This window comes from Homo sapiens, chromosome 7 (assembly GCF_000001405.40).
Source record: "Homo sapiens chromosome 7, GRCh38.p14 Primary Assembly".
NCBI lineage: Eukaryota > Metazoa > Chordata > Mammalia > Primates > Hominidae > Homo > Homo sapiens.
In genome coordinates, this window is record NC_000007.14 from 71,288,756 (window position 1) to 71,312,104 (window position 23,349).

Consider the following 23,349-nt stretch of genomic DNA (forward strand, 5'->3'; position numbering starts at 1 on the left):
GCAGCACACATTGCTGGAGGAAGCCCAGCTAGAGAGTGCAGGAGAGGAGAGTTGGTTGATGCTGAGAAATATTTTTTTGCTGGATCCATTTCTTCTGATGAAGGTAGCCATTCCCTCGGGATTTTCTTTAGGTGATGTATTTAAAAGATCGCTGAAACATGATTTGGCTCATGTGCTTAAAAACCATCAACTACATAATTTAATGTGCCCATTTTATGTATGGGGAAATTGAGGTCTGGTGACGACAGGTCCAGGGTCAAACTGGACTCCTGATATCTTTTTAAATTTGACCCTTCAGCAGTACAGGGGTTGCAGGTACCAACTCTCACAGTCAAAATTTTGTGTGTGACTTTTGACTCCCCCAAAACTTATTTACAAATAGCTTAAGGTTAAAACTGGAGCATGTGTTTAAGGTTATTCCTCTCTGTGCAGGCATCATCTGACCACGTCTTTTTTTTTTTTTTTTTGCAATCCTTTTTTGTGCCTTGTTATCCCAATCATTATTGGGCATAATTAATAAGGAAATAATTGAATTAAAATATTCTGGAGATTTTGCTTTTATGTACATTTACTGGATCATACACGTAAATACAGAGATATATTTATATGTAGTTTGGTTTTTAAATTTTTGTCTTTCTTTTTCCTTTTTCAAGATTTTATGTTTTTCTCGTGATAAAGTTCACATAACATCAGATTCATGCCAGTGCTGTCACCTCATGCCTGTAATCCCAGCACTTTGGGAGGCCGAGGAGGGCGGATCACTTGAGGTCAGGAGTTTGAGACCAGCCTGGCCAACATGGTGAAACCCCATCTCTACTAAAAATATAAAAATTAGCCAGATGGACCGGGTGCAACGGCTCACACCTGTAATCCCAGCACTTTGGGAGGCCGAGGCAGGCGGTTGACCTGAGGTTGGGAGTTCGAGACCAGCCTGACCAAGATAGAGAAACCCCGTCTCTACTAAAAAAACAAAATTAGCCAGGCGTGGTAGCGCATGCCTGTAATCCCAGCTACTTGGGAGGCTGAGGCAGGAGTATTGCTTGAAAGGGGGAGGCGGAGGTTGTGGTGAGCCAAGATCGTGCCGTTGCATTCCAGCCTGGGCAACAAGAGCAAAACCCCGTCTCAAAAGAAAAAAAAAAAAAAGCCAGATGTGGTGGCACGCACCTGTAGTCCCAGCTATTCGGGAGGCTGAGGCAGGAGAATTGCTTGAACCCGTGAGGCGGAGGTTGCAGTGAGCTGACATAGCGCCACTGCACTCCAGCATGGGCAACGAAGCAAGACTGTCTCAAAAAAAACCAAAAACAAAAATCCATCAGGTTCATCATTTTAACCATTTTGAAGTGTACGATTCTGTGGATTTTAGTATATGCATGATAGCATGCAACCATCACTGCCATCTAATTCCAGAACATTATCATCACCCCAAAAAGAAACCGTGTACCTATTAGCAGTCAAATATATTGGTTTTGAAGATTTGCTAAATCATGGTGCCAAGAGTGTTTTATACATGTGTGTGAATGTGTGTGTCCTCTTGTAATGGGAAGACATCTTTCGCTTTATGACAAGAGTCTTTGGAAAGGTCTTTGTCCAGGCGGGATGCTCAGGAATATACTCATCTAGGGAGCTGCTCTGGATTGCGATGCCGTCTTGCAGGTGGCTGATGCTATAAAAATACATGCAGAAGGTCCTTTGGGAGGCCCTGAACAGAGGCTGTAGGAACCTTGGGGAGGGAGAATAGATGGCCCGGGGAGGCTACCCTGCTTTCTTAGTCCCTGTTGAGCCCAGGCCTGGCACAGCATTAAAGAGAGCTGGGCTGCAGAAAGAGGCTGTCTGTAAAACAGGCAGGGAGCCAAGGTCCTGGGTGGCTGGTCTATTAAAAGCTCCCTTGACAATTTCGACAAAAGCATCAGTATTGGCTGGTCCCATCCTGATGTGGATCCTTAGCTTCTGTGTCTGAAAATCCTCCCTGAAGTTCCATTTGCATGTATTATTCCATTCTCTATGATTCCCTGCTGTGGGTTACTGTTCTACAGACTCTTATGCTCAGACTCCAGAGAGCCGTGTTTGTTTATAAAAGGCGGTAATTGGAAACAGTGTGGTTAGAGAGACATAATATTGGACACAGACCTCATCTTGGCTCTCTGCCTCGCTCTGTGACCCTGGCGACATCACTCACCTTCTCCGAGCCTTGGTTTCCACATTGAGAAGTGAGTTGGAATAGTGGATCTAGAAGTAGTAATACCTTCTTCATAGGACTTATGTCAGGATTAAGTGAGATAATGCATGGAAATACTTTGGCATAGTGCTTGGTACCCAGCTTAAGTGCCCAATAAATGGTTACCAACAGAAATATACCCATGATTATTAATATATTAACCTTAATAAATTAATGTATCCATCCAGACTGAACTCCCAAATAGCCAATTTCCCCAACACCTTTTACGAAATAGCAGAGTCGTTAATTTGTAACACCTTCTACATCATATATTAATTTCTCTTTGGTTGGCCGGTGGACTCGGTTTTGTTCTGTGGATCTGTTTTTGATCATTTTATTAGAAACATTTAACTTTAATTATTATGTCTTTTAATTCTTGTTACATTCCTATTCTTCCAGAATTCTTAGGCATGATTTTGTTGGGTTGACCCCACGTTTTACTGGGGTTGTGATTAGAATCCAATTCCATGATAGCTAAATCTTGGTCTGTGAAAACTGTCTAACAATATTCAGTCATTTCATCTAGAAAGAGACTATATTTATTTATTGGTTTCAGTATTTTACATCTTTCTAAGTATTTATTGCCAGGGTTATTCCTGGACAGTTTTTATTTGTTAACGTTTTCACTGGCATTTTATCCCATTATTTGTTCTAATTGGTTTTTGCTTTAGGAGAGGGGTTGATTTTTAATTTTAATGTTATGCGTACCTTATATCCAATCGTATCACTGGATCTATATACTAATTTTCTGAGTTATTTTGATTATCTCTTGATTTTGAAGCATGTAATCATATAATTGAATATGCATCTAATAATTTTATCTGTTATGAACTTGATTTTCTCTAAATTTATCTTTTCGATTGTTTTAAATTTCTTGCATTTATTTATCAACCTAAAATTCTTTTCTGTTTTCTGGTGCATTAATTTCTGCTTTACTCTTATTTTCCCCTTCCCAGTTCTTTCTTTGTTTCTCAAACTGTTTCAACAGAGTGGTTGGTTCATTTATTTTTCATGGTTTAATAATAAAAATAATTAGGGCTGTTAATTTCTTTCTGGGAACATGTAACTCTGTTATGGATTATTTACATTTTAGATATTTTCAAGCTAGTTTATAACTGTAGATTTGATTTTCTTCTTGAACTAATAATTTTCCCAGTTCCCCTTCTGCAGTGGGATTCCGGGAGAGAGTAGTCAACAGCTGAATTAACAAGTCTAGAAAGCATTCCTAGAAAAGGTACCAGGCTGAGAAACGAACTGGCTTAGAGTAATGGGTTGCACCACAGGTAGGCAAGTGACAGAAAAACAAGAATACATAGGTTTTGCTGGACAGACATCAGGCACACCTTGGTTGGGTGTTCTAAGTGCTGGGCTGCAAAAGTCTATTAAGCATGTCAAGTCTGTATAGGCAATAGTTGATTAAAGGATTATTTTCAAATCCTCATGTTGTTTGGATTTGTTTTGTTGGACATCTTATTATATTCTTATTTTATTGTGCTGTAGTCTGAATGTGAACTGAGCATTTTTAACAGTTTTATTGAGCTATCATGGACATATAAAAATTGTATATATTCAAGATGTATTGATATATGCATACATTGCAAAATGACCACAATTAACCAAATTAACATATTCATTATCTCCACATAGGTACCATTTGGGAGAGGGAGAGAGAGAGAGAGAGACAGAGAGAGAGAGAGAGTGTGTGTGTGTGTGTGTGTGTGTGTGTGTGTGTGTGTGTGTGTTGGGCAGATTTAAGATCTATCCTCTTATTAAATTACAGTATACAATACAGTATTGTTAACTTTGTCATCATGCTGTACATTAGATCTTCAGAAATTGTTTGTCTAGTATAACCAAAACTTTGGACCATTTGACCCAAATCACCCCATTCTTCCCTCCCCCCATCCTCTGGAAATTAGCATCCTACCCTCTACTTTTATGAATTTGATATTTTTCAATATGTGAGATCATGCGGTACTTTTATTTCTGTCTCAGTCACTTCATTTAGCGTGATGTTCTCCACCTCCATCCATGTGGTCGCAAATGGCAGGATTTCCTTCTTGTTGAAGGGTGAATGCTATTCCATTGTGTATGTGTGTGTGTGTATACACACCCTGTTTTCTTTATCAATACATCTGCAAAAAGATAGTGAGATTATTTTTGTATCTTGGCCATTGTGAATAATACTGCAGCCGCTCAGTGTAGATATTTCTCAACATACTGATTTCAGTTCCTTTGGATATATATCTAAAATGGGATTGCTGGATCATGTGATAGTTCTATTTTTAATTTTTGGGGGGAACCACTATACTGTTTTCCATGATGTTTATGCTAATTTACAGTTCCCCCTGCAGTGTACAGGGTTTCCCTTTACTCCAAATCCTTACCAACCCTTACCTTGTCTTTTTGATAACAGCCATTCTAACAAGTGTGAGATAATATCTCATACTGGTTTTAATTTCCGTTTCCCTGAGAGTTGGTGACATTGTGCATTTTTTTCATATATCCATTGGCCATTTACATGTCATCTTTTGAAAAATGTCAATTCAGACCTTTTGCCCATTTTAAAATCAGATTATTTCTTTTTTGCTGTTGAGTTCCTTGCATATTCTGGATATTAATCCCTTATTAGATAAACATTTCTTGAAAGGCAGGTATAGTAGTGACAAACACAGTTTTTGTTTGTCTGAGGAGGACTTAATCTCCCCAACATTTTAAAAGGATAGCTTTGCAGGGTATAGTGTTTTAGGTTAGCAATTCTTCTTTCTTTCAGTCCTTTGAATATATTACTTCACTGTCCCCAAGCTTGTAAGGTTTCTGTGAAGAAACGTCCTGTTAGTTTCATGGTATTTTCTTTGAATGTGATGAGGCACTTTTCTCTTTCTGCTTTGAAAATTCTTTGTCTTTGGCCAGGCATGGTGGCTCACGCCTGTAATCCCAGCACTTTGGGAGGCCAAGATGGGTGGGTCACGAGGTCAGGAGATGGAGACCATCCTGGCTAACACGGTAAAACCCCGTCTCTACTAAAAATACAAAAAGAAATTAGCTGGGCATGGTGGCGGGTGCCTGTAGTCCCAGCTACTTGGGAGGCTGAGGCAGGAGAATGGTGTGAACCCGGGAGGTGGAGCTTGCAGTGAGCCGAGATCACAGCACTGCACTCCAGCCTGGGCAACAGAGCGAGACTCCGTCTCAAAAAAAAAAAAAATTCTTTGTCTTTGACTTTTTACAATGTAGTTAGGTTTCTCAGTATAGTCCACTTTATATTCAATATATTTGATGTTTTATATGATTTTTGAGACTGGATGTTTATTTCTCTTCCCAGTTTGAGAACTTTTGGTTATTATTTCTTTAAATAAGCTGGTTGCCCTTTTTGCTCTCTCTTCTTTCTGGAATGCTCACAATATGCATATTGTTTTGCTTGATGATGTCTCATAAGTCCTTTTTTTTTTTTTTTTTTTTTTTGAGATGGAGTCTTGCTCTGTCACCCAGGTTGGAGTGCAGTGGTGTGGTCTTGGCTCACTGCAACCTCTGCCTCCCAGGTTCAAGCAATTCTCATGCCTCAGCTTCCCAAGTAGCTGGGACTACAGGTGTGCACCACCATGCCTGGCTAATTTTTGTATTTTTAGTGGAAATGGAGTTTCACCATATTGGCCAGGCTGGCCTTGAACTCCTGACCTCAGGTAATCAACCCACCTTGGCCTCCCAAACTGCTGGGATTACAGGTGTGAGACACCACGCCTGGCCATATCTCATAAATCCTGTATGCTTTATACAGACATCTATTAGTTCTATTTTGTATATTCAAATGCTTTATGTTATTATCTATAGGTTTTAAACCTGACCAGTTTAAAGATGTAAAACTGGAAAAGAGTTGTTTTGTTCATTTGCCCCCCTTTTCCAAGAATTTTGCATTATATATTTTGAAGTAATGTCATTTAATCCCCTCTCTCCTGATGCTGCGATAGTCTGCATTAATGTTGAAGCTTATCTTTTATCAATATATAATGTCTCTGTTTTCCTATGTAATGCTTTTTCTCTTTAGTGATGCTTTGAGTCAAATGAATATTTCCACCTGTACACCCTTAACTCAGTGTTCTTAACCTCCCATCCCCTCTGAGTCCCTTACAATGGGCCGAGGATACACTTTCTATATGGTAATTCTTCTAAGTTCTACGAGAACGCTGCTGGCTTCATTTCTCTTCAACCTTTCCAATCCTGATTTTCTCCTCAATATTTTTGTCTAGTGGATATCCTAGACTTGCTTCCTGTGTGAGCTCCTTTGCTTCTAGGTTCTTCCTTTGGACATGTCTAGAACATTTTCCCTGTACTTCACTAGGCAGCTATCTATTCCATTGCTTGCCCACCTTGAGGACCCTCAGCTTGCCTCTTACCTAACAGTTGTCTAGGAGGGTGAGGCAGAGTTTGAAGCCTGCCTTTCTCCCTTCTCTTCCCCTTCCCTCCTTCCTTCCTTTCTGTGTATTTTGTTTCTCTCTGTCTCTCTTTGTTTCTTCCATCCTTTCTCTCTTTCTTTTTTCCTTTCTTCCTTTCTCTCTCCCTTCCTTCCTTTCCCTTCCCCTCTCCCTCCTTCCTTTTTCCTTTCCTTTTCCTACCTTCCTTCCTACCTTCCTTCCTTCCTTCCCCCACCTCCACTTTCTTTTCTTTGCTCCCTGTCTGGTAGAGTTCCATAGAATGGTCATAGCTCACTGCAGCCTCAAATTCCTGGGCTTAAGCAATCCTCCTGCCTCAGCCTCCCGAGTAGCTGGAACTACAGGTGCACACCATCATGCCTGGCCAATTAAAAAAAATTAGAGATGGGGTCTCATTATGTTGCCCAGGCTGGTGTCAAACACCTGGCCTCAAGCAATCTTCCTGCCTCAGCCTCTCAAGTAGCTGGAATTACAGGTGCAAGCCACTGTGCCAAGCAGGAGTCTGCCTTTCTTTCTTGGGTTTTTTTTTTTTTTCCCAGCCTGTCATCTGATTCACATATTTTCCTTGGTCACATAATACAATTTTGCTTTTTAGTCCTGGGAGCTCTTATCTTTTATTAAAGACATTTTTATATGAGTTGTTTTAAGTAAGTAGTCCTCTGCCATTTTTGTTTTTAGCCTTTTCCTCATAGTTGGGGCTATTCCTCTTGTTATCTGTCTTTGAAGTTATGGGCAATGTTTTGTTTGTCTTTATCATCACCATTAGTAATTATCTTTCACATTTAAAAAGCAGTTCTTGATCCTATCTATCTCTATTTATCAGAGGCAAGAATGAAGTAGTTTCTTTTGATTCCTTATTATGTAGGAGATATTTTAGGATTTCTTACACCTGCCCCACACAGAAACATAGATATACTCTTGATTAATGTATTATTGGCCTTTGCAGTGACTCACGCCTGTAATCCCAGCACTTTGGGAGGCTGAGGCAGGTGGAACACTTGAGGTCAGTAGTTCAAGACCAGCTTGGCCAACATGGGGCCAACCCCGTCTCTACTAAAAATACAAAAATTAGCCGGGCATGGTGGCAGGTGCCTGTAATCCCAGCTACTCGGGAGGTTGAGGCAGGGAGAATCACTTGAACCCAGGAGGCGGAGGTTGCAGTGAGCCGAGATCATTCCGCTGCACTCCAGCCTGGGCAACAGAGCGAGACTCCATCTAAAAAAAAAAACAACTATATATATATATGTATATTTACACACATACATGCATACATATATATGTATATAAATTTGGCCTTAAGAACCAAGAAAAAAAAAACGTGTTTTTTTTTAGACAGGGTATATGTATGTAAATAAAATATATCCTGTAAGTAAAGTATGATATTTAATATAGCATGTGTAATATATAGTGTTATAAGATGGTAGAAATACACACACCACACATACACTTAAATTTATATATATAATTTTTTCGCTGCTGTGTCATTGATCTTGGCCTCCATCATGGTGCGTGAACACGCCATGCCAGGAGCTTTATCCTCTTCAGGCTATAGAAGTTGAAGGATAGGAAACTAATTCCTAGTCCAGTTCCCTCCTGCATGCTGGCATTCTTCCACTATTGCTCTGGTGGGATAAGGAGAAGGCTTTTCTTATTGCTTAAGCCTTTTCTTAAGCACACCTCATTGCCTGCTCTTCCATCACTTTCGCCAGATGGAATAAGCAAGAAAACAACTCTCCAGGTTCTTCTTTTCCACATGGGAGCTCTCACTCTTGGCACATGGTACTGCTGCAGCCTCTATTCTCATTCATGCTCTCACCTAGGGCACAGTCTCAAAGCTGATCTCATACACCAAAAGACGCCTGGGGCCGGGCACAGTGGCTCATGCCTGTAATCCCAGCACTTTGGGAGGCTGAGGCGGGTGGATCACCTGAGGTCTAGGAGTTTGAGACCAGCCTGACCAACATGATGAAACCCTGTCTCTACCAAAAATACAAAAATTAGCCAGTTGTGATGGTGCCTGCCTGTAATCCCAGCTACTCAGGAGGCTGAGGTAGGAGAATCACTTGAACCCGGGAGGTGGAGGTTGCAGTGAGTGGTGGTGCATGCCTGTAGCCCCAGCTACTTAGAAGGCTGAAGGTGGAGGATTGCTTGGGCCCAGGAGGCAGAGGTTGCAGTGAGCTGAGAGCATGGGCAACACAGTGAGACCTTGTCTCAAAAAAATAGGACACTTGGATTAGAATGTTCATAGCAGCCTTTCTCATAATAGCTCCAAAGTGGAAACAACCCAGATTTCAACCAACAGGTGAATGAATAAACAAACTGACATATTCATTCTATAGAGTACCATTCAGCAGTAAAAAGGAATGAACTACTGGTATATGCAGCAGAATGAATGAATTTGAACAAGTATCTTGTAGAATAAAATAAGCCAGACAGAAGGAGTACCTACTGCATGATTCCACTTATGTCAAGTTCTGGAACAGGCAAACATCATCTCTGGGGTGGGGAGAATTGCCTGGAAAGAGTCAGGAAGGCACTTTTGTTGGGGATGGGTCTTCTTTTGGATGGTAGCTACACAACAGATGTTTATGGTTGTCAAACCTCGTTGAACTCAAGAGTTGTGTATTTTCTTTTATTTTTTGAGATGGAGACTCACTCTGTTACTCAGGCTGGGGTGCAGAGGCACAATCTTGGCTTACTGCAACCTCCGCCTCCCAAGCTTAAGTGATTCTCCTGCCTCAGCCTCCTGAGTAGCTGGGATTACAGGCGTGCGCCACCATGCCTGGCCAATTTTTGTATTTTTAGTAGAGATGGGGTTCATCATGTTGGCCAAGCTGGTCTCGAACTCCTGACTTCAGGTGATCCACCTGCCTGGGCCTCCCAAAGTGCTGGGATTACAGGCGTGAGCCACCACACCTGTCCTGTGTATTTTCTTTATGTAAATTATATATCAATAAACTAATGGCTGTACTTTTTGCAAAAACAATCAGAACAGAAAATAAGGATATATAGTATATATAAATGTATATATAAACAGAAATAAAATATGAGTATGATTTTTAAAACGCAGGACTGAAGTTGGTCCTAGCTCGGGCATGGACGCGAGTCTTACACTGTGGCATCTGCTCCTTTTTCTTTCTGGTTCAGAAAGAAGCCAGACCTGAGCTGACACTTGCGGGCAGCTGGAGCCAGACTGTCCTGCCTTATTTCCAGGTGGCTGGGCTTTTCTATTTCTAAGGGTAAAGGTGTGTTCAGGTCACTGTAATTTTTCATCTAGTGCCATCAGATTTGTGCACGACTTTTATTCCAGTGGGGTGTGTGTGTGTGTGTGTGTGTGTGTGTATGTATGTGTGTGAATGTGTACACAGGCTAGTGCCTTCTTTGGGATATTTACCCAAATTCATTTTGGATGTGAGGAGATCTATTTCAGAGTTTGGTAGCCCAATTCAACCCTAAGATATAAAATATGATTTTAAAAAGTCATAGCTGCCCGGGACATTGGGCCAGAAAGTAGCACTGGTGGTGTGGCTGTGGAATGTCATATCTCCATTGATGGGCACACGAGGGTTTTTGCACTAGTGACTGACAGGTGTTAAGTCACCACCCTTGCAACTGACTATCGGAGTTCCAAATGTGAGAGGTCGGAACATTTTAGTCACTCACCTGCGGAGAGAGGGAGACTATAGGGCCTTAGACCAGTAAGGCTTTTAGACCACCTGGGCCCGCCCCTCATTCTACAGGTGAGATCTGAGCCTGCGGGGAGGCAGCTGGAGAAGGGTATGTGTGGGACCAGCTGGTGGCCCGCCTTGACCCCCGGTGCAATCAGTTTTAAGGCCAGTGCTCTTGCATGTTAATAACTTTTCTCTTGGATGGTGTTTTAATCCGCTGGGACTAAATGATTCTGTCATAAATCCTTGCAGACGAGAGGATGGGAACTGCCGTTTATGAAGTCACCTGCAATGTGCCAAGTACTCAACACATGCTACCTCATGAATTCCTAGGTAGTGGACCTAGGAGGTGGCAATTATTTGTTCCATTGTACAGATAAGGAAACCGAGGCTGATGCAGAATTGGGGTTTGTTACACCATGATTTTTCCCAGGCTCCACGCATTCCACAGATTTACAGTCTCAGTTTTCAGTTTTCATTCTGGAGGTATCGGACAGGTGTCTGCTGTGTGCACGTCCTGAGAACACAGTCCTGGCCCTCGTGGGATGTATAGACATTGCCACTGTAGCGCTGGAATCAATGGGATTTACTGCAGAGATGACCGTGGGGGCGAGGTTAATGCCAAGGGTCAGACTGAACCCTATGTCCTTCCTGTGTGTCTGCTTGTAGATTTCTGGAGGGAATGTTTCTTTTTATTATTACAATTTTTTTTTTAATTGAGATGGAGTCTTGCTCTGTTGCCCAGGCTGGTGTGCACTGGTGTGATCTTGACTCACTGCAACCTCCGCCTCCCGGGTTCAAGTGATTCTCCTGCCTCAGCCTCTGGAGTAGCTGGAATTACAGGTGCCTGCCACCATGCCTGGCTAATTTTTGTATTTTTAGTAGAGAAGAGGTTTCACCAAATTGATAATCAGGTTGGCCAGGCTGGTCTCGAAATCCTGACCTCAGGTGATCCACCCACCTTGGCCTCCCAAAGTGCTGGGATCAGAGTCGTAAGCCACTGCACCCTGCCCTGGAGGGAATGTTTCAACCTCATAATCCCGGCCTCTCAAAGCCTGCCTCTCCTTCATGCCTGACACCGGAGGGGGAACAATGACTGCCATGTTCAATAAAACTTTTGTGGGAGATGATTTAAATTGCTTTGATGACACCCTTGGGAGTTGGGACTCCTTTTAGTAATTTAGGTTGAAGGAATGTGTGCTTTCATGAAAGAGAGGAAATGTATCTGGACTCTGGGCTTGAAGCTCTTCTTTCTAAGAGGAGGCTTGTTGGATTTCAAAACCAAGACGACACCACCTCTTGGTGTGCTGGCAGACACAGAGAGAGGACTGTCTGTCTTCCCTCCTGTGTCCCTCTCTGCCACAGCTGAAATGGCTGATCTTTTCAGAATCACTGACTGGGGGATGTTCATGAGCTTGGACAGGATAACAAATGGAGGTGGGTTATTTTCTCATCCTAATAAGTGAGAAACAGCTGTTCTTCCTAGCTTGGAAAGCAAGTCATTTGTTTTCTACACACACACATGCATGCGCGTGCACATACACACAACCACACACACAAACACACATGGTTATCAACATGCTGCTAGGAAAAATTAAAAATTGCGCATCATATTTCTAAAAGAGGAAGCAGAGAAAAGGGATTTCCAGAATTCTAAACACGCCTCCCATCACTGCGTCTCCTCTCAGCTAGGACTTTCTGTTTGCACAGCCGAGGCCTGCAGGGTACATTCCAGAGGTGGACTTGGGGCTGGCCTTGAACTTCCAGACCCTCTCTCCCCTCTCTGGCCGGGGCTGGGGAAATGTCAGCTATTCTGAGGGCCTTGGAAGCTGGACTCAGTTATTTTCGGTAATGTATCATCAACCACTTATTCCACTTTTACAGAAGCTATTTGTAAAATGAACAGTGTTTAATGTATTTATATTTAAAGTAATTATTGAGGTCAGGCATGGTGGTTCACATCTATAATTCCAGTACTTTGGGAGGCAGAGGTGGGAGGATCCCTTGAGCCCTGGAGTTCAAGAGCAGTCTGGGCAACATAACAAGACCTTATCTCTACAAAAATTAAGAAAATCAGCCACACGTGATGGTGCCGCCTGTAGTCCCAGCTACTCGGGAGGCTGAGGTGGGAGGATCCCTTCAGCCGAGGAGTTCGAGGCTGCAGTGAGCTAAGATCGCTCCACTACACTCCAGCCTGGATGACAGAGTGAGACCCTGCCTGATTACTTTTTTTTTAAAGTAATAATACTTTTTAAAAAATATTTTTTAATTATTATATTAAAATATATATTTAATATATACTAATAATTATATATAATAATATATAATAAAATATATATTTAAATATGTATATAATAAAATATATAACATATATTTTAAATATTGTTTAATTATTATAAAAAATAATTACTTTTTTAAAAGTAATTATTGATAGAGAGGGATTTACTTTTGCCATTGTGTTGCTGTTAGTCTTGTAGTCCTTTTTTCTGTCTTTCAACTGATGTATAATTTCAGTTAAGTAAGATGAATAAGTTCTAGTTACCCAATATGCAGCATTGTACTTATAGTTGAGGCATAAACTCATTTAGTACTTTAATTTGGCCCAAATACACAAGTGTGCGCAGTATTGGACACTTAAAAATTTGTTAAGAGGATAGATCTTGTGTGAAAGGTTCTTACCACAAAAAAAACTAAACGAAAATGAAATAAAAATGAATAATGTAAAGGATAGGTAAATTACAAAGTACACAAAGGCAAAAAAGAATTTCACTGTCTTTTGAATGAACCCTTTATAGGCGGTTTCTGCTTTATATGCAGGGGTGGAAGGTGAAGAACCTGCTATTGACAGTGACTTTGAAAGACTTTGAGAAAATAGTGTAAGTAGGTACAAAATGTCATCACAAACCATGTGTCTTATAATACATGTAGCAAGAATGGAATACTGTGTAGCCATAAAAAGGAATGAGATCATGTCCTTTGCAGGGACATGGATGAAGCTGGGAGCCATTATCCTCACCATACTAATGCAGGAACAGAAAACCAAACACCGCGTGTTGTCACTTATAAGTAGGGGCTTAACGATGAGAATACATGGACACAGGGAGGGGAGCAACACACACTGGGGCCTGTTGGGAGAGGGCAGGGGTGGGGAGAGCATCAGGGAAAATAGCTAATGCATGCGGGGCTGAATACCTAGGTGATGGGTTGATAGTTGCAGCAAACCACCATGGCACATGTTTATGTATGTAACAAACCTGCACATCCTGTGCGTGTATCCCAGAACCTAAAATAAAATATTTTTAAAAATTAGGTAACAGAGTCTCAGTATGCTGTCCAGGCTCAAGTGCACTGGCATGGGGCTTCAGCTGTGTCATATTTCAAAATGAGAGTTCTCTACATGGCGGCCTTCGAATAATGTGTGCTAATTTCAGGACCTGAAAGATACTAGCGTACATGTGCAGGGCCATGTGCACACACTCTCCTTGTTGTCCCAGGGACCTAGGTCTCCTTGTCTGTTGCCTCTGAGCTCAGGCACTGTAATCTCATAGAACGTCACTGTAATGGGGAGACAAAGCTAGGCTGAATTGATGAAAGCTGGAAAGACTACTTTACTGGGTCTTATTCATTATTTTCAGCAGCATAGCATAACCGTGCTCTTTAAAAAATGGACTAAATTGAGAGTCTGTTGAACTTCCCCCTTTCAACATGGGGTATTCATTTGTTATTAGGAACGGCAATTTTTATGCATGTAATTAACATACTATGATAGCTTCAGTGGATTAGGCGAGTCATATATGTATATATTTACTTTTTTGAGACAGAGTCTCGTTCTGTCGCCCAGGCTGGAGTGGTGTGTTGGCTCAATCTTGACTCACTGCAGCCTCCACCTCCTGGGTTCAAGCAATTCTCCTGCCTCAGCCTCCCAAGTAGCTGGGACTATAGGCACGTGCTGCCATGCCCGGCTAATTTTTGTATTTTTAGTAGAGACAGGGTTTCACCACGTTGGCCAGGGTGGTCTTGATCTCCTGACCTCATGATCCACCCACCTCAGCCTCCCAAATTGCTGAGATTACAGGCATGAGCCACTGCACCCAGCCTTTTTTTTTTTTGAGACAGGTTCTCGCTGTGTTGCCCAGGCTGGAGCGCAGTGGTGAAATCATGGCTCACTGTAGCCTTGACCTGGGCTCAAGAGATTTTCCCACCTCACTCTCCTGAGGAGCAGAGACTATAGGTGAACACCACTACACCCAGCTAATTTATATTTTTTTTTGTAGAGATGGGATCTCGCCATGTTGTCCAGGCTGGTATTTATATCTTATATATACCACTTAATTGCTTTATTTTCATTTCCTTCGTAAATGATATCTAGGTGAAATTAACCAGCCTTTTTTGAATGAATGATCCCTAAGTTTGAATTGGTGGGGTCTGTGTAAATGGATGAGGGCCATTTGAATAGACATTGGGACACTTGAAGATGAAAAATTCATGGTCAAATACAACATTTTTCTGACTTGTGCTAGAAAGATGTCAGATTCTCTTTTTTGTTTAATACAGTGATTACTAATACTCAGCACGTCGACCTGTTGCTTGGAAGTGATTTACGCATTCTCTGGTCTGGGAGAATTACTGCCTTTTTTTTTCTTCATGACTCAGAGTGGGCTGGACTCCCCTCTAAAGAAGCCATTAAATTTGATGAAGAGCCACATTCCTTGCAAGGCTTGACCTCAAACATTTGAGATTAGCCCTTTGAATTTCTCTTTCTGGAAGTCTGACAGCAAAACTTGGTGCATTTTTCTCTGCAGGATCCAAATAATAGCTAAACGCCTCCGGGGCAGCTGTAAGGCAAGTATTTTAAAAACAACCATGTTAAAATGATCTGGAGACTGCAAACAATCGGCTTTTCTTTCGCCCCAGGAGTCTCAAGGTGCACACTTGCATATTTGAGCCAATTAAAATACTAAATAAGCTTGTCCCTCAAGAATGTAGACAGAGCTTTTCACTCTAATTTCTGCTCAATACCCTTGAGCACACCTTGTTGGTTGAATAAAGCCACACCTAGTTTCTGCAATTAGGGGAACCACGTAGTTGATTTTTGCAAGCTTTCCTTCATCAGAGAATGAGCAGTCTTCATTCATTCAATGCAGTGATGCATTTGTTCTTTTACCCAACAGATACTTTTTGAACATTTACAACGTGCCAGCATAGTTTAATCTGTATATATTCGACAGACGCTAAGTTAACTGAAACGGCGTTCAGAGGTGGATTAAGTATTCATCAGTGCGTATATAGAAACTGAAGGCATGGAGTGGGTGACAAAGTGGGTACAGATGTTGTCTCTTCCCCTTTGCCCCTTTGGGTAAATTACCGTATGATCTTAAATACATTGTCAAGGAATAAGCCACTGAAAACGGAGAAGGTTTTGATGACAGCGCTGCATGCATGTTTTTGTTAAGAAACACTCCAAGGGCATCATTCTTGGGCTATGTCAAGGTCTATCAACTGGGAACCACTCAATTTACCAGGCTCCCAAGATGCAAGTGGCCTGTGTTTGCTTATTTGTGTCAAGGGGATCCCTACAGTTCAGATAAGTTAGTTTTGCACTTCCCACTACAGTGTTTTTGTTGGAAAGTGGTCTGCTAAGTGAGAACCCATTGCCAGTTTTACCTACAAGTCCTGTATTTCTTTTTTCTTTTTTTTTTTTGAGATGGAGTTTTGCTCTTGTTGCCCAGGCTGGAGTGCAATGGCACGATCTCGGTTCACCTCCGCCTCTTGGGTTCAAGGGATTCTCCTGCCTCAGCCTCCCAAGTAGCTGGGATTACAGGTGCCCGCCACCATGCCTGACTAATTTTTTGTATTTTTAGTAGACATAGGGTTTCACCATGTTGGCCATGGCTGGCCTCCGTGATTCACCTGCCTTGGCCTCCCAAAGTGCTGGGATTACAGGCGTGAGCCACACAAGTCCAATATTTTACCTAGAAGCCTAGCAATTCTTTCTGTGTAAGGAGATGCATAGAACACGTTTGGGGTAGAGGTAGATGTAGCTATAGATACAATTACAGATATAGTTATGGATATATAAAATTAAATACCTTAATCCTTGACTTTATTATTTTTCTTCTATCACATATAATCCTATTTGGAGCAAAAATACTTTGAGCACATGTTAATTTTGCTAGTTTTTTGGGATAGTTTTTCCCGCCAGTACTCCCATTTGCAGAACTAGTGGTAAATGCTAATGGAAAACTTCTTCAGTTAGCAGATTTTTATTTTACTTTATTCCTGGGGCAATTCTCCTTAAATTGTAGATCAAATCCAGCTGCAGGCTAAAGCACCAAAATTTTCTTGTTTTCAACTAACCCACGGCAAGGATAAATTTTTCTACCCCCTGGGATGGCAGATTCAGTCCCGGAAATTCAGAGTAGTGAAATTGTTAGCAGTTGTTCTTAAAATCTGGGCTCTCATTTCATGGCGATGTCTTTGGTCTTTGTGTTGAAAGCAGGACCTCTGTAAGCCCCTTCTCCTCCCCAGACTGTGAGTTTGGTGGGTGTTATGACAACGGTGAGGGGACGGGGGAGGGCCCCTCCAGGAAGTTGTCATCTCAGTCCAGTGCGGGGTCAGCAGTAAAGGACTTACTAGGTTGGCGACCTGATGTCACCCAGAGCCAGAGAAGTTTCCATATCTCAATGAACCTTTTGGATTCGAAGAGAGATAATTACTAACTCCACGGACTGGCCTTAGAAGACTCTTCCTCTGACATCATCCAATTCATTCTGCCACTTAAAAAAAGAAAAAAAATCCAGGTACCGTGGAAAGCCACTGGAAGCTTTAAGCAAGAGAGTGTCCTGATTTACAATTAAAAAATTTCTAATTAGGCCGGGCATGGTGGCCCACGCCTGTAATCCCAGCACTTTGGGAGGCTGAGGCAGGCGGATCACTTGAGGTCAGGGGCTCGAGACCAGCCTGGCCAACATGGCTAAACTCCATCTTTACTTAAAAATACTAAAATTAGGCGGGTGTGGTGGTGCGTGGCTGTAATCCCAGCTACTTGGGAGGCTGAGGCAGGAGAATCACTTGAACCTAGGCGGCAGAAATAGCAGTGAGCCAAGATCGCATCATTGCACTCCAGCATGGGTGACAGAGTGAGATTTGTCTCAAAATAAAATAAAATAAATTCTAATTTTGGTAAAACATACATAACATGAAATTTACCATCTTAACAATTTATATGTGCATATATCAGTAGCGTTAAGTATATACACATTTTTGGGCAACAGAACTGTTTTCATCATGCAGATCTGAAGCTCTGTACCCATTAAACAATAACTCCCCCTACCTGCTGTCAACGCCCCCCACTATTCTTCTTTCTCTGTCTCTAGAATTTGACTACTCTACATACCTCATTTAAGTGAAATCATACAGTAATTGTCCTTTTGTGACTGGTTTATTTCACTTAGAATATCGTCCTCAAAGTTCATTCAAGTTGTAGCATGTGTTAGGATTTCCTTCCTTTTGAAGGCTGAATAATAATCCATTGTATGTTTACATCTTAGGCTGGTGCAAAAATAATTGCTGTTTTTGCCATTGAAAGTAATGGCAAAAAACAGAAATTACTTTTGCACCAACTTAATGTATCCTCTTTTGTTTATTCATCTGTTGATGGGTACTTGGGTTGCTTCTACCTACTGACTATTGCAAATAGTGCTACTATGAGCATGAGTGTGCAAATATCTGTTCAAGTCCCTGTTTTCATTTCTGTTTTGTTTTGTTTTGTTTTTTGAGACAGAGTCTCGCTCTGTTGCCCAGGCTGGAGTGCAGTGGCACAGTCTCAGCTCACTGCAGCCTCTGCCTCCTGGGTTCATGCCATTCTCCTGCCTCAGCCTCCCGAGTACCTGGGATTACAGGTGCCCACCACCACACCTGGCTAATTTTTGTATTTTTAGTGGAGATGGGGTTTCACTATGTTGGGCAGGCTGGTCTTGAACTCCTGACCTCAAGTGATCTGCCCACCTTGGCCTCCCAAAGTGCTGGGATGACAAGCGTGAGCCACCACCCCTGGTCCCTGCTTTCATTTCTTTGGGGTTTATGCCCAGAAGTAAAATTCCTGGATCCTGTGGTAATTCTATGTTTAACTTTTTGCAGAACCGCCATACTGTTTTCCATAGGGGTTGCAGCATTTTGCATTCCCATCAGCCGTGCACAAGGTACCACTTTCTCCACATCCTCGCCAACACTTGTTATTTTGTTTTCTTGACAGTAGCCATTTTAATGGGTGTGAGGTGGTATCTCATTGTGGTTTATGTCACATTTTTGAGTATACGTTTTACCCTGCTGGGTATATGTTATTACACTAGGTGCTGGCTTACAGAGGCAATAAGACCCACTTTCTGCCATGAGAGAGGAAACTCACAATCTGTTGGAGGAGACGGGCATCTAAACGGAAAATTATAATACAGCTTATCAAGTGCTATGATAGAGACAGGTCTTAAGAGAGCAGAGAGTGGATGCAATCGAGGAAGACTTCCTGGTCTTCATAGCCCCACCTCTAGGAAGTCTTCCTTGGTTGCACCCACTCTGTGCTCCGTTAAGACCTGTCTCTGGAGTAGCAGTAGAGTTCCTACTCAACTTCTCATTTTCTGGTTCCTTCTACCAAGTTAAGCATACTCATTAGAAGGAACCAGAAAATGAGAAGTTAAATCTGAAGTCCAAGTGGTTGGTGAGTATTGGTTAGAGCACTATTTTTAGAATAGAACAATGCTTATGAGTGAAGCATTTTTTTTTTCTTTTCATTTGTGCATTTCTCTGGCTCTGGGAGATTGTAAAGGTTACTTCATTGGGATGCTTAGATCACAGTTTCTGGTTATTAGAAAGAGGCCACACTGAGACCTTTGGGAGAAAAGGGGCACAGCAGGTGGGTAGGTGGGACGTGCCTCATTGAGCCTGATTCAGGGGTCTTGTGTGTTTTCCATTTCATCCAATTCTGGGAAGTCTGAAGGCTCCGGGTCAGAGGGGAGTTTGTTGCATGGGGGCAGTTGTCTGGAAAGCTTAGTGACAAAGTAGCAAATAGGAGCAAGGAAACAAAGTATATAAAGACCTGCTATTTAGGAATGGCACTATTCTTGTCGTGGTGACTCACATTTGTCAAGCCTTGAAGGATATTTGCAGAGGAAGAAAGAAGCATTGGATTGCAGCTCGGTGGGAGCAGATCCTGGCTGCCAGTGCCGGGACCAAGGCAGGGTGTGATCTCACCCGTGTTGCCAAGGGTCATCCCACACCCAGACTGTTCGGTTTCCATTCTCATTCCTTGGCATTGCCTTTTATAGAACTGCTTTCAAAAGAGGCATTGGGGCTGATGTCACAGGATCACTATGTGTTTCTCAGGAGTAGGGAGGGAATGAATAGGATTTTTCGAACATTCTATACCAAATTCACTGCCCTCCCTCCATTTGATTTAGGACTTACATCTTCAGCATCCTCTCTTTGTTAGGCTCCTCTGGAATTGTCTGTCCCCCTGGCTAGATCAAGAGCCCCTCTGTATCCCCAGAACCTTGCAGCTTCAGGCACTTTGCACGAGATAAATAAACATGGATGCAATGAGAAAAGGGATGTGACAGGTATTGGGGAAGACAAGCCAGCAACTGCTCTGGGCTCTGCTTTGGAAGTGCCTTTCATTTCTCTTTAGTTTTTTTTTTTTTTTTTGAAACAGAGTCAAGCTCTGTTGCCCAGGCTGGAGTGCAGTGGCACGATCTCAGCTCACTGCAACCTCTGCCTTTTGGGTTCAACGGATTTCTTATGGCTCAGCCTCCCAAGTAGCTGCATTACAGGCAAGCACCATTACGCCTGGGTAATTTTTGTATGTTTAGTAGAGACGGGGTTTCACCATGTTGGCCATACTGGTCTCGAACTCCTGACCTCAGGTGATCTGCCCACCTCGGCCTCCCAAAGTGTTGGGATTACAGATGTGAGCCACTGCGCCCAGCTCATTTCTTTTTACTCTCTATCCACCACTTGTCCTAGCTCAAATCCTTTTGAGTCTGACTTGGACAGCTGATGTCACCCTCTACCTAGTCTTTTTTCCCTTCAGTGCCATTTTTCCAACTCTTGTCAGTCATTTTTATGCTGTCATTGCATCCAGACCTGATCATTTCTTTTCTCTTTCCTACTCAAAACCTTTCTTGGTTCACTGTGACTCAGTGAATAAATCCATGACCCTTGGCAGTCTAATTCCTGTTTGTCTTTCCAGCCTTGCCATCCTGCCCAGCTACCTGCCTCCCATCTCATTCCCTGCTAAATTTGCTTCTTCCTTATGTGAGTTGAGGCACACGCTTTCCCTTCTGCTGGGAAGGAGTTTCCACCCCTCTGAGACCACATCCAAATGTTATCTCCTTGAGGAAGCCATGCATGCTCCCTGCCGAGACCAAGGAGAGAAAACCATGCCTTCGTCTGGGTTCGCATAACTTTTGTCTACACTTTTGTCGTGTCATTTACTGCAAAAGTTGTCCCCCAAGCTATCCTTTTATTTACATTTGCTTATTAATTTCAAGAATTATTTGAGATAGTATTCAAGTTACATACTAGAGGAATATTCCTATGAATATAGGATATTATAATGATAATAAGAGTTATGTTAAGGAATTCCCATAATAAAGGGTGGAGGGAGAGTGGGGATGAATTTGGGGTCATGTAAATACAAACTGCATATGCTGTGATGTTTAGCGCATTTGCCAGAAATGTTTAGAATACTTATTTCTAAACTTGGACCTCTACTTTCTACCAGCCAACACTAAGAGAGAAATATATTGATATGATTTGGCTATGTCCCCACCCAGATCTCATCTTGAATTCCCACGTGTTGTGGGAGGGACTTGGTGGGAGGTAATTGAATCATGGGGGCAGGCCTTTCCCATGCTGTTCTCGTGATAGCGAATAAGTCTCACAAGATCTGATGGTTTTATAAGGGGGAGTTTCCCTGCACAAGCTCTCTCTTTGCCTGCCGCCATCTGTGTAAGACGTGACTTGCTCCTCCTTGCCTTCTGTCATGATTGTGAGGCCTCCCTAGCCATGTGGAACTGTAAGTCCATCAAACCTCTTGCTTTTGTAAATTGCCCAGTCTCAGATATGTCTTTATCAGCAGCATGAAAACAGAAGAATACATATATCATCCATATGGTTCACGATGTCTCCAGGATGAAATGAATCAGAAGCAGAATGACTCTGCCAGGGGCTGAGACGCTAAAGAAATTTCCCTTACTTTGTCACAAAGGATTCCCTAAATCATATCACTATGTGTTCAATGGCATCGTCTTTGTAAATGTAACTTCACATTCCGTGTGCCTATTTGCATCTGTTTGCAAATAGAAGAACACGTAGCACTGTCTGAGATCATGAGGACATTTAGTATTAGGTTTGTGCAAAAGTAATTGTTTTTTGCATTTAAAGTAATGGCAAAAACTGCAGTTACTTTTGCACCAACCTAATATTTACCTAAGGATTCTAGTGGCCTGGGGTCCCAGATGCCTTCAAGCAGTTCAGCAGTGCAACATATATGTTTCCCTTTCCTTCATGGCTAATCCAAACATTGTATCCTAACCCCAGCATCTCAAGCAGGGTGGATAGAAAAGGGCAGTCCTTTTTATTAGCAAAGATGAATCCTTCCAGAATCTTTTCAGAAGACTTTCCTTTCTATTGGCCCTACCAGAGTCACCCAGGTACACCTAGTAACAAAAGGGCTAGAGAAGTGGCTCTGTCCTTCATTCTGGGCTGGATGGAATGCCACGCGATGTTCTGCTGGTGTAGAAGAGAATGGGAGAAGTGGAGGAAGGGATCTCAGGAAGACAGCTGGGAGTGACTACCACGGTAGTTCTCTATCACGACACTAGTCCAGTAAATCCTGCTTTGCAGGAGGTAACACCAGTGAGCAGCTCGCCGCTGATGAGATTTATTCCCAAAATAACTTTCAAATCTGAAGAGGAATGGCTGCTCTGTATTTCATTTCAGCAAGTCTCCATGGATATTATTTTTCTTTCCACTGACTTTATTTATAACCTGAGCTGCAGGAAGCTGGAAGGAGAAGCTCCTTGACAATATCTGGAGCCTGGGCTTGCTATTTGACCAGTTAACCCTACGTTTTCTCCCTTGGCGAGGTTGGGGATGAGGAAACACCTTCTCTCCTAAAGATGGGCCTGATGAGGATGCATGGTTCCCAAGGTGTGTGGTGTTGGTCAGGGAGGAATAGCATGCTCTAGGTTTGGCAGGCCGACTCATTTGGCTTAGGCCCTCTGGCTAAGCCATACCGGAATGGGGCTCAGTGGTGAGTCAATCAATTGGGGAAGCATCTTATGTTTGGAGATAGCTTAACAGTAAGAAGTGAGCTAAGGGTGCTGTTATTGCAAGACCCCCATCTCTACAAAAAATAAAAAATAAATTAATGGGGCATTGTGGTGCCCAAATTCAGGAAGAATTTTTTTTAAAAAAACCTAAGGCCTGAGTCACATTTTTTAAAAATTGAAAAAGCTGTGGGGGATCCCAGTTCATGCTTCTCTCTTCTCAATCCAGGATGAGATGAGCAGCGCAGCATCTCAGTGAAGAGTGATGTCATGGACACAGTTGGGAGAGCCTTCCCTTGATTTGTTATTCTTGAGATAGGCTGAAGAAGGAACATGAGTATTCAGTCATTAGGGATGTGGATGGGTACACCATGCAGTTGCTCACCAGTCCCTGTGTGGGAGAGGCAAAAGATGCTACAGCTAAGAAGGATTTTGGTGATTGCTGAGATGCAAGGAACATTAGCCTAGCATATTGCTCATCTTTCCACACTAGCTGTCCCTCCATCTGCTTCTGAGGTAGGAGGTAGAACTTGACTCTGGACCGGATTGAAGACTGGTTGAAACAGGGAAGAGGCACTGAAAGCACTTCTCCATGAGACATGTCCATGAGTGCCGTGACAGTTTACCATTGCCATAGCAACACCAGGCAGTTACTGCCCCTGGCTGTGGCAACACCCTAAAGTTACCTCCTGTTTTCTAGAAATTTCTGAATAATC

General features: G+C 42.4%; 1 protein-coding gene and 2 non-coding genes across 6 annotated transcripts in view; 2 read left to right on the forward strand and 1 right to left on the reverse strand.

Moving 5' to 3' along the window:
* Positions 1–23,349, forward strand: part of GALNT17 (polypeptide N-acetylgalactosaminyltransferase 17) — a 581,456-nt gene that overhangs the window by 156,612 nt on the left and 401,495 nt on the right. The gene's annotated exons all lie outside the window — the stretch shown is intronic.
* MIR3914-1 (microRNA 3914-1) lies at positions 18,917–19,015 on the reverse strand. Its single transcript, NR_037477.1, has one exon. It is a non-coding gene; the product is annotated as a microRNA 3914-1 (primary transcript).
* On the forward strand, positions 18,919–19,013 carry MIR3914-2 (microRNA 3914-2). The gene has a single exon (NR_037479.1). It is a non-coding gene; the product is annotated as a microRNA 3914-2 (primary transcript).